Source organism: Homo sapiens, chromosome 14 (assembly GCF_000001405.40).
Source record: "Homo sapiens chromosome 14, GRCh38.p14 Primary Assembly".
Lineage (NCBI taxonomy): Eukaryota > Metazoa > Chordata > Mammalia > Primates > Hominidae > Homo > Homo sapiens.
In genome coordinates this window covers 64,294,895-64,306,983 of record NC_000014.9, presented here as the reverse complement: position 1 = coordinate 64,306,983, position 12,089 = coordinate 64,294,895, and the positions used below count along the sequence as shown (strand labels likewise).

The 12,089-nt window shown below is 43.5% G+C and overlaps 1 protein-coding gene across 6 annotated transcripts in view; it reads left to right on the top strand.

Moving 5' to 3' along the window:
- ESR2 (estrogen receptor 2) overlaps positions 1 to 12,089 on the top strand; it is a 111,907-nt gene that overhangs the window by 31,630 nt on the left and 68,188 nt on the right. Inside the window, exons 3-6 of one of the 6 annotated variants that reach the window (NM_001291712.2) lie at positions 3,325 to 3,508; positions 5,404 to 5,616; positions 8,500 to 8,593; positions 9,266 to 9,451. The exons of the other annotated variants lie outside the window; for them this stretch is intronic. The gene's annotated coding sequence lies outside the window, so the exon portion shown is untranslated. The remainder of the gene's footprint in view (positions 1 to 3,324; positions 3,509 to 5,403; positions 5,617 to 8,499; positions 8,594 to 9,265; positions 9,452 to 12,089) is intronic. 6 annotated transcript variants of the gene reach the window in all.

Below are 12,089 nucleotides of genomic sequence, written 5' to 3'. Positions count from 1 at the left end.
AAGAGCTGACCTGAGTAGTCCTATATCTATTTTTTAAAATTGAATTTGTAGTTTAAAACCTTCCTACAAGGAAAACTCCAAGCCCAGATGGCTTCAGTGGTGAATTATACCAAATGATTAAGGAGAAATAACAGCAGTTCTCTACCACCTCTTTCAGAAAATGGAAGCCAATGGAATACTTCCCAATTCATCCTAGGATAACAGCATTACCCTGATACCAAAACCTGACAAAGACATTCTTAGAAAACTACAGATCAGTAGTCTTCAGGAACACAGGTGCAAAAATTCTCAAGGAAATTTTAGCAAATCTAACCTAACAATATGTAAAAAGGACAATGCATTAAGACCAACCGGAGTTTATTTCAGGCATATAAGTCTTCATTTCAAAGCCCAATCAATATAATTCACTACATTAACATAAAATTAAACCATATGATTACCCCAACAGATCCACCAAAAGTGTTTGACAAAATCTAACATCCGTTCCTAATAAAAACTCAGCAAACTAGGTATAGGGGCCCTTTGTTTGTCTTTTTCTGGTTTCCAAGTCCTTGAAACAAAATCCAACTATGTCCAAATGCCATGAAGGTTTGTGTTGCTGCTGATGTCAGAGATAAACATTACTTTTAAGGACAGGACGGAGTGGAGTAGCAGAAGCATTTAGATGAGAAAAAAGACAAATTAACTTGTTTAATTCTTCTTAAGAGCCAAAATGCAGGTGTTTCTTGCACAATGTAGTATTCTTTTTCTTTTTACTTTCTTTTTTTTTTTCTTTTTTTTTGAGATGGAGTTTCGCTCTTGTCACCCAGGCTGGAGTGCAATGGCGGATCTCAGCTCACTTCTGCCTCCCGGGTTCAAGTGATTCTCCTACCTCAGCCTCCCGAGTAGCTGGTATTACAGGCATGCGCCACCATGCCCAGCTAATTTTTGTATTTTTACTAGGGACGGGGTTTCACCATGTTGGTCAGGATGATCTCAATCTCTTGACCTTGTGATCCGCCTGCCTCGGCCTCCCAAAGTGCTGGGATTACAGGCGTGAGCCACCGTGCCCGGCCTATTTTTCTGTAGTCCCATTTTCTTGCTTCAGAGTTATTCAGGAGTTAGCACGGTACTACAATTGCTATGCACAGAAGCTGAGGAACATTTGGTAGTGTTAAATACCTAACATTGACTTAAATCTGTACATAGGTAGTTCTAGATATACTATGCTTCTTTACTGCATCAACCAGATGGACATTAAATGGTAGAATTATGACTAATTTGTATAAAGCATTTTATATAGTATATATATTTTATTTATTTATTTATTTATTGAGACAGAGTCTCGCTGTGTTGCCCAGGCTGGAGTGCAGTGGTGCGATCTTGGCTCACTGCAAGCTCCGCTGCCCTGGTTCACACCATTCTCCTGCCTCAGCCTCCCAAGTAGCTGAGACTACAGGTGTCCGCTACCACGCCCGCCTAATTTTTTTGTATTTTTAGTAGAGATGGGGTTTCACTGTGTTAGCCAGGATGGTCTCGATCTCCTGACCTCGTGATCCGCCCGCCTTGGCCTCCCAAAGTGCTGGGATTACAGGCGTGAGCCACTGCGCCCGGCCTAGTATAATAATTTTTAAAATTAGCTTTAAATATTTTTGAGTTAAAATCTTGATATTTTAAAATGTTGCCTATTAATTAATTTTTTTTTTTTTTTTTTGAGACGGAGTCTCGCTCTGTCGCCCAGGCTGGAGTGCAGTGGCACGATCTCGGCTCAGTGCAAGCTCTGCCTCCTGGGTTCACGCCATTCTCCTGCCTCAGCCTCCAGAGTAGCTGGGACTACAGGCGCCCGCCACCACGCCCGGCTAATTTTTTTGTATTTTTAGTAGAGACGGGGTTTCACCGTGTTAGCCAGGTTGGTCTCGATCTCCTGACCTTGTGATCCACCCACCTCAGCCTCCCAAAGAGCTGGGATTACAGGCGTGAGCCACCACGCCTGGCCGCCTATTAATTTTTATAAGCAGTTTGCTTTTAATATTTTAGAAGAAAATAGCTCTTTGAATACATTTAAAACCAGTTTTAACTTTTTAAATTTTAATACTTTATTTATTTATTTATTGTTTGTTTGTTTGTTTGACAGAATGTCTCGCTCTGTTGCCCAGGCTAGAGTGCAGTGGAACAATCACAGCTCACTGCAGCCTCAAACTCCTGGGCTCAAGCCATCCTCCCACCTCAGCCTCCCAAGTAGCTAGGACTAGAGGCATGAGTCACCACACCCAGCTAATTTTTAAAAGATTTTTTTTTTGCAGAGACATGGTCTCACTATGTTGCCCAGGCTGATCTCAAACTCCTGACTTCAAGTGATCCTCCTGCTTCAGCCTCCCAAAGCGTTGGAGGTTACAGGCATCAGCTACTATGCGCAGGTTTTAATTTACTTTTGAATAAGTATGTGAAATTAAATAATTCAAACTTAAAGCTGTTGGAACTTTATTCTGAGCCTTGAGAGGTGTGTGGCTGTGCAGCCTGAGTCACATGGCATGCAGCTGCAACTTTTGCCTTGTTTTTCCTTTAGATAATTAAGAACAAACAGCACCAAAGACCCCCACAGATCATTACCCCTCCTTATAGAGTAATAAAGTATTCTTTCTTGGAATTTAGCAATCTGTAACCAATCAAATTGCTGTGGCATATGCACTAGTCTTGTATGAAAAGAGTCTTGCTCTGTCGCCCAGGCTGCAGGGCAGTGGCAGTCATAGCTCACTGCAGCCTCGAACCTGCCGGGCTCAGGTGATCCTCCCACCTCAGCCCTCTGAGTAGCTAGGACTACAGGCATGCACCACTGTGCCCAGCTAAATGTATTTTTTGTAGAGATGGAGTTTTGCCATGTTGCTCAGCCTGTTTTTGAACTGGGCTCAAGCAATCCTCCCATCTCAGCCTTCCAAAGTGCTGGGATTACAGGCGTGAGCCACCATGCCCGGCCAAAACCAACTAATATTAACAGTATTTTGTGTGTCTCTCTAAATATATCCTATGTGAATGTATGTATGTATTCTTTCTTTTGCCTTTATAAACAAATGATAGTATATTTTTCATAACGTTCTGCACTCTGATTTTCTTCTCAATGTATCTTGGCAGTCTTTCTCAGTATATAGTGACTTTTCTCATTTTTTTATCTTTATACCTCAATATCTGGCACATAGTAAGCAAATCATAAATGCTGAGTGAATGAAATATTAAATGAATAAAAAGGAAATTTTTGTGCTGCTATTGGAAATTAGCTCTCTATATATTTCAACATGTTACACATATACAATGATCTAAAAACTTGTCTTACTCTTTCCTATCCACTAGAGGGAGACATCAACCTGTTGTGGAAAAGAATGATCACTTAAAGTCTTTAGAAATTCTGAACCAACTCTCTAGCAGGTGATCCTTGTTAGAATTTGAGCCCTTAACGCTATCCAGGACTGGAGGTTGAAGGGACGATAGAGGGAGCAGGAGGAGAATGCACATGGATTAAGGAGCGAGAACACAGGTGAACTTCAGCTTTTTTGCTAACAGTCAGACAAACTACTGACCCTGACTCAGTGATGTGCTAGTAAACCAGCTCTTTAAAAAAAAAAAAAAAGCCCTAGATTGCTGATTTGTATGTAATGTTTATGAATTTCAGTAGAGAAAAAGACAATATTCAAACTGAGCCATGCACCCAAAACAAGAGAACAGCCAAGAAGTGTTCACTTCTATCAGTGCCCTGGGTTGTTTGAAAAAAGAAGCCGACCTGAGCACCTGTGAGCTCCCTTCTGGCGAGGAGAAATCTGGAGTGTAGTTATTCCACCATGGCCAAATTCAAGCCACTCGGGGTTTAATCACCGAATTGCAAATTCCTTGAACATTTAACAGTAGGCTCTCTTGGCTGGGCGCGGTGGCTCATGCCTGTAATCCCAGCAATTTGGGAGGCCATGGCAGGAGGATTACCTGAGGTCGGGAGTTGGAGACCAGCCTGGCCAACATAGTGAAACCCCATTTCTACTAAAAATACAAAAAATTAGCTGGGCGTGGTGGCAGGTGCCTGTGGTCCCAGCTACTCGGGAGGCTGAGGCAGGAGAATCGCTTGAACCCAGGAGGCGGAGGTTGCAGTGAGCCGAGATTGTGCCACTGCACTCCAGCCTGGGCGACAACAGTGAAACTCCATCTCAAAAAAACAAAACAACAATAACAACAACAGTAGGCTCTCTTGAGCCAGCCTGAGCAGGCTCTTGCATGCTGCTGAAGCTTGTCGGGTCTTAGTTACTTTTCCTGTAAAGTGGGGATGATAAATCTGCTCATTATGTAGATTCTATTACATAGAGGACACATAAGTTCTTTGAATGCTTAAAGCAATGTTTCCTAAACTTCTTTGGTCATGAAATCACCCAGTGGCTTGTGTAAAATAAACATTCCCAGGACCTGCCCTAGAGCACCTGGGTTAGAACATTTTGGGGGAGGGGGCTGGGAATCTGTATTTTAAATAAGCAACCCAGGTGAGGCCGGGCGCGGTGCCTCACACCTGTAATCCCAGCACTTTGGGAGGCCGAGGCGGGTGGATCACGAGATCAAGAGATTGAGACCATCCTGGCTAACACGGTGAAATTCCATCTCTACTAAAAATACAAAAAAATTAGCCGGGCATGGTGGCAGGAGCCTGTAGTCCCAGCTATTTGGGAGGCCGAGGCAGGAGAATGGCATGAACCCGGGAGACAGAGCTTGCAGTGAGCCGAGATTGCGCCACTGCACTCCAGCCTGGGCGACAGAGCGAGACTGTCTCAAAAAATAAATAAATAAATAAATAAATAAATAAATAAATAAATAAAAATAAAAAATAAAAAAGTGACCCAGGTGACTCTTATGACCCTGTGAAATGGGAGAAACACTGCTGCAAATTACTCTTATAATTGGGTCAGGTGTCAGGGGTCTTTCTCTAACTTCACAATTGGGCCTGCTTGAAGAGATGTGTGCAGAGTTCCACAACACACTCCAGGCAGGCATTTAATCCGTTCACTGTCTTCTCTACCCTCAGAGCCCAAACTTCCCAAAGAGGAAAACCTGCTCCTTGCCATCTCTTAGGCCAAGGCTTCTGTACACCTGGGAAGTCCTTCAATCTGAGGATCTCTGGGTTGTTTTCAAGCTACTATTTATTGAGAATTTACAAAGTGTCAGGCACGTTACAGCAATTTGTCATTTCTATGAAATAGCTTCTTGTGCTATTCCCATTTTACAGAGAAAAATCAAAGAAGTTGGGAAAATGTCGAAGGGCACACAACTAGGAAGTGTTTGTGCTGAAAACCCACCCTAGGCCCAAGCCTTGGAACTCCAAGCCTGGGTTCCATCCCTGCACTGGGCAATTCTGATCTATGTGCGCTAGTTTCCTTGTGTTCTCTGTTCTCTCCGTAGAAATCCTGGGCTCTCTTCTCCCAGCCACAAGGTTAGGTTGAAAAACAGAGCAGATGGAGGTAGTTTGTAGCCTACAGGTGCCCTGAATGAAGCTTCCACAGTGCTAAAGTGGAAGAACGAGGGACTCCAAGGGAAGGATTCAAGGCTGGGCCCATGCACCTGTGTAATTCAGAAGAGACCCCAGAGGAGATCAGCGCCCTCTAATTAGCCCTGGTAAGGAGCTCTGGGAGTTACTGTAACTCTCTCAGAAGAACCCAAACATGCGGGAACGTGACTTCTTACCTTCTGAAAGTCCACAAAATTCCTGATTGCCACCATTAATTTGTCACTTATCATTTGCAACAGGCATTGTAGGTTGTCTTATGCATTTGTCTTCTCCCTTCAGCTAGTGTATAAAGTCTTAGGGAGACCAGCAGTTCAGAGAGAATGGGCTTTGGTGTGAAACAGATCTGGTTTGAACCCTCTGCTACTTACTAGCTGTTGGGCAAGTTCCTTAAATTCTCTGAGTCTTAATCTTCTCATCTGTAAAATGGAGACATAAGGAGTACCCACCTCATTGGATTGTTTTAAGGATAAAATTAAATAGTGCAGGCAAAGGATTTACAAGCAACTGCTGAATGAATGGTAGTTATAGCCTCCTCCTCATCATCTGTGAGCAAACACCCTCATATTTCCTTGTGTCTCAGGTAGACACTTAAGGTATTGCAAGCATTAAGGGAGCATTGTCACAAAGAGATAAATGCATGAGGGCAAGATGCAGTCTCAAAGAAGAGTGTTTTATGAAAGAATAAATGTAATGCTGAGTGTCAGAAAAAAATTTTTTTTTTTAAAGATGAGGTATCTATCACCCAGGCTGAAGTGCAGTGGTGTGATCTTAGCTCACTGAAGCCTCAACCTCCCAGGCTCAAGTGATCCTCCAGCCTCAGCCTCCCGAGTAGCTGGGACTACAGGTGCCACCACACCTGGTTAATTGTTGTATTTTTTGTAGAGATGGGTTTTCGCCATGTTGTCCAGGCTGGTCTTGAACTCCTGGGCTCGAGCGATCCTCTCATCTTGGCCTCCCAAAGTGCTGGGATTGCAGGCATGAGCCACCACACCCAGCCTGTCAGAAAAATTTTAAGGTGAAAATAACTAAAGAAGTTGTTAAGAATTTTCTCCCTTGAGTGGTATTTTAGACTGAGATGAGGGAGGGTAGAGGTAGGATGAGAAGGAAGGGATGGGGTCCGGTTGAAAGGCCTGTGAGATAGTAGCAGTGCAATATGGCAGATGTTGACAGCCTCAGTGCTAGGAACACAGAAACTGAATCTCTTGCAAGGAGGCAGGTGTGCATCTGTATGGAAGTCAGATGACCTGTGTTCCTATGAGTGCAAATCTGGAAAACACCCTCAAGTTTCCTTGTCAGCAAATTGGTGATAAAATCAACATTGTAGGGTTGGTGTGAACATGCAGCATGATGTGGCCATGCAAGTTCTTTGTTAACTAGAAGCCAGTGTCATGCCAGGACAGCAGTCCTCCTAGTAAGCTGTGGCTGGTGGCGTGGTAGAATACGTGGAGCAGGCTGAGGAAGCACTTGACTTGACTATGAGCAGAACCATTAAGAAGCTAGTTAGCTAAACTGCCTGGACAGTAGAAAAATAATATGTGAGAATGTAAAAGGAAGAGAAACAATGTGAGGGGAGAGGAGAATGCAGAGATCCTGGCCCATGGAACAGCATTGGTGATCCTTAAGTAGCTGCATGAACTACTTGGAGAAGTTCATTTTCTGTTTATAATTCCCAGCAAAGGAGAGGACTGAATAAGAGAGAAGAAAACGATTCCTTTCTCTGGTTAGGTTCATCAGATCAAACGGTGACATATGTGAAAGAAGCACGCTCTGTGCACAAAAAATCAAGTCTGTATTTTTATAAAAGCCATTTCTGGGCTGGGCGCGGTGGCTGACGCCTGTAATCCCAGCACTTTGGGAGGCGGAGGCGGGTGGATCAGGAGGCCAGGAGATCGAGACCATCCTGGCTACCACGGTGAAACCCTGTCTCTACTAAAAAAATACAAAAAAATTAGCCGGGTGTGGTGGTGGGTGCCTGTAGTCTCAGCTACTTGGGGGGCTGAGGCGGAAGATTGTGCCACTGCACTCTAGCCTGGGCGACAGAGCGAGACTCCGTCTCAAAAAAAAAAAAAAAAAAAGCTATTTCTGTAATGAGCATCACTGGAGAGTTAGTTGCTATGGGTCTAAAGGACAATATGAGGCAGTTATAGTAACTTTCCATGATATGAACAAAGAAATTGAAAATGTTAGATACATTTACAAGAAGATGTAGAAAAAACTTTAGTCAAAATTTTTGAAATATTTTTTGAAATATTAAACTATGAAATCAGACAGTCTTATCTATGGTCTCAAGCCATGTCTGTCTGTACCTTTTTTTTTTTTATCTCATTTCAGGGAATATTACACTGGCTGACTTATTAATATCTTCTGAGCCAGAAAATGTAAGGAAGCTGCATTTTCAGAATTGCATTTGAGTCATTTGTGAAATTGCATATTACAATTTGCCGCCATTTCTAACAGTCCTATAACTTTTTTTTTTTTTTTTCTTAACTGGGTGTTCACATTCATGCCAATGACCTCTAGGGGCTAGTTTCTCTTCTAGCTCAAGAGAATTGCTGCAGAGTTGGAAGTAAGGACAAAAATGTGTATGCTTCATGTTTGATTTCAAATGCATAGAAAATTAGAAACTTAAGGTATGCAAGGGATTTGTGTGGAATTTAAGTACCTTTGAGGGGCAGTGGACAGGACAAAAAGTTATTTTTTACCTGTTTGTTTACAAATAGCAAAGATCAAGACTGAAACACATGAGTGTGATTTAGAAAGAGTTGGCTGCAGGTGCTGCTTGCTCAGGTGGTTCATTTAAACTGCAGGTCAGAGCAACCTTGTCTCATGGTCCTGGTGCCCAGGTATCAGGTTGGGTCTGTCTTGCTGCTTATGTCCTTGTTACCCTCTGAGGGCCCCAGTCCAACGCAGATCAATAAAGAATAAGTTACATAAATATGCTCATAGGTGGTCATTCCTAGACAAGAAATTGACAACATTTCATTCAACAGTATCTGGGCTCTACAGGACAGACATGCCTCCATTTATGCAACAAATAAGAACAGCATCTCATGACAGTGGAGAAAACATGGGATGTGCAGGTAGGTAGGTAAAGTTGGGTGGAAACTTTCACCCTACCAAATGCACATGGGTGACTTTATAAAATAAATGTTAGCTCTCTGAGCCTCAGTTTTCCCATCTGTAAAATAGACAGTCCCAGGGAATTTTCAAGGATTAAATGAAATAAAAGTGAATCAACCTATGCAAGCCTGCCTACTGTGGTGTCCAGGCTAGAAAAATGCTCAATAAATATTAGGTTTGTTTTTATTTCTACAAAAGATGTGATCCTAAAGAGCTCTATCCAAATTCAAGTTTCAAATGTCAAATCACATTTTGTGAACTTTATGTTCAGTTGAGATGATCTCTGACATATTAATTAGTAATCCTATCTTTTTCATTCATCACCACCAAAAAAAGGTGTTATTGCACGTTCAATTAATCTTTCCCCTTTATTAATTCCATAAGTGTAGGGTTTTATCTCTCAGATTCTCTTAAAACAGACCAATTTATACCCACATAATATAAATAAGCTTGTTCCTATAACACTCTGGAGCAGATAACTATCCCAGAACCCAAATCCTCCTACTTGGCTTCAAGCTCAGAGAATAAAGCAACAATCCAAAGGCACCCTTTGGCATGACACCCTTCTAGACATCTGTAGCATTCCTCCTTTCCCTCCACTTTTCCTATTAGCTTTTGCTTTCTTGCCTTTTACAGGGTTTTGTTTTGCCTCTTGGTAGTTTCTTTCCTACGGAAAATTCTCCCTCTGATCTTTCCAAGTCAAAGGCTTCAGCAAACATTTGTTGAACGCGTGGATTGTGCTAGGTGGGTGTTATGGACCATGGAGAATGCTAGAGATGTAAGACATGCGCTGTCCAATCGCAGCGCAGGTTGTGTTGACAGGTAAGATGAGGGCTGTGGGGGAGCCAATGTGCACGTTCCACTGGGCTAATGTGCTCTTCACCTTATTTAGGCTCTTGGCTTTGGGATGTGTAAGACTTTGCTAGACAGAGAAGGGGTGGGGTGAGAAGATGAGGAAGGTGCACCTTTTATGGAGAGGCTTTCCTTCCTCTTCACAGCAAACCATACCTGTACTACATTGACTTCCTTTGCTTTCCCAGGTGACATCTAGCTCATGCTGCAAGCTCATCTTGTTAATCATAAATGCTAGTAAGTTAATATTACCCATCATATATAACATGACTTAATTTTAACAATTCAATGCTTTATCCCCAAAAGATGACTTAATGGTGACAATTTCAATCCCCATTGTAGGATATTTTGGAGACAGGCAGTCCTTTCAATGTCATATGTGGGTGCTTCCTTAGGCAGGTCAGGGGTGAGGTGGAAATGAGGCTGGGACCCTGCTCACTTATATAGCAGGCATCGTTCTCAATACCAGGCTTCAGGGGGCTTTTTGGTCTAGCCATTGGTATGAACTGCCTCAAGAATAATCCCTTCATCATTGTGGTCACAATTCAGGTAGAATTGGAATAATCATCCTCTCCACTCTGCATTAAACCAGGCAAAGTTTCCATCTCTGGGTACCATTGTCTTTCTTGATGGACAGGGTGAGTCAGAAGGAAACTTACTCACTCCCATTCATTTTCTGCTTATTATTTCCTGCAGTGAGGTTTCCTTGTATAATAAACAGCTTCTGTGGGTGTTTGAGCTGCTCTGAAAAGAGAACATGCTGTTCCTGTGTGTAGAATGCCTTCTGAAGGAAGCATCACAGTGAACACAGAGCAGAAGCTTGGCACACAGGTGGCAGAAGTTTGTCTGCAGTGTTCTGCATAGAGCAGAGAGTCAAGCCATTTTCATTCTGATTGATTGGAGGCATGGTATGGAGGTAAATGGGTCCTTGGCCTCTCTCCTGGATTCAAGTCCTTCTTAGCCACTGATAGGTCATGTGACCATAGGGAGGTTGTTTAACCTTCCTGAACATTCATTTTCTCAAGTATAAAATGGGGGTAATAGAATTTGCCTTATAGGCTTGCGTATAAAATAAGAATTATTGAGAGAAAGCGGGGCATAAATGTCCAATAAGCGGTAGCTGTCTATGAAGCCACTGTTGTTACTGGGTTCCTTTCTCACTAGGTGGCTTCAGGTAGCTGACAGAAGCTCTGTGAGCCTCAATTTCCTCACTGGAAAAGTGGAGTCAATATCTCACTGAGCTGGTGTGAGGATTAAATGAGATGCTGTGCAGGTGCTTAGCACAGCGTCAGGTATGATGTTAATATTGATAGATGCATTTTCTTCACCCTCACCTATCTTTTTCTGCCTGTTGGCTTATGGTTGAAATTCCTTCATGACGGTTTCCATTTCCAGAGATATCTTGTTAACAAGTATATACCACCAAATGAAGCTGATTTTTTTTTTTTTTTTTTTTTTTGAGACAGAGTCTCGCTCTGTCGCCCAGGCTGGAATGCAGTGGCGCGATCTTGGCTCACTGCAACCTCCGCCTCCCATGTTCAAGCGATTCTCCTGCCTCAGCCTCCTGAGTAGCTGGGATTACTGGCATGTGCCACCACGTCCAGCCAATTTTTGTATTTTTAGTAGAGACGAGGTTTCACCATGTTGGTCAGGCTGGTCTCAAACTCCTGACCTCGTGATCCACCTGCCTCGGCCTCCCAAAGTGCTGAGATTATAGGTGTGAGCCACCATGCCTGGCCATGAAGCTGATTTTTTTAAACCATCATTTAACATTTTCTCCATAAGGTGGCAAGGAGGAAGAGCATATGGGGACTGGGTACTTTGAGAGACCCCAGGACAGGAGACAGGGAGGCTGAGATTGGCATGTTGTCTGCTGCAGTTATTTGCCAGCGACACACTCTTCCCGTCCAAACTAACTTCTCTGCCTCAAGGACAGGGAGACTCTGCCTTTCAACCTGAGAGAAACCAGGACTCTCAGCTTTAATGAAAATTGGACTTAGGGTGGGGCAGTGGAGACTTTTCACAGCTATTGTTTAGCTGATGAAGCAGATGCTTCTCCATCTTTGGAGCCTGTCTTCATTACCTGTGGACCTCATCTTTATCAACCCAGAGCACACTTGCGTCTCTCTATTTTGGCTAAACACCAAACAGCTGAGGCTGGTACTGTAAAACTTTCCCTCCAAATGCCCCCCCTCGTCTTCCTCTATTAGAGATCTGGATCACAACCCTCAAAAACCATGTCCCTTATGCCACCTGAGTAGATGGTTTGATGATTAATTAGGCACAGATGTGACACTGGGGGGTTCTCACAATGGCCTGTGGGTCACATGCTACTTTCCTTTTCATTTTCATCAGCAACAGCTGCCTTAAAGCCAGTTAAGACTGTGGTCCTAGTCTCGCACCCTGGGGCTCCTGCTGGGGTGGGTGAGGGGAACACCCCATTAAGCTGGGGGAACTGGGGCTGCCACCAGGGGGCGCGAGGGGCCTTCGCCCGAGAAGAGGGGTGGGCAGGTGCCTCCAGCGGAGAAGGGCGCCGTGGCCGGAGGCACAGGTCTCCCCGGTGCCACTTCAAGTGAGTTCGAGGAAGTACCTGGGATCTTTGATCTAA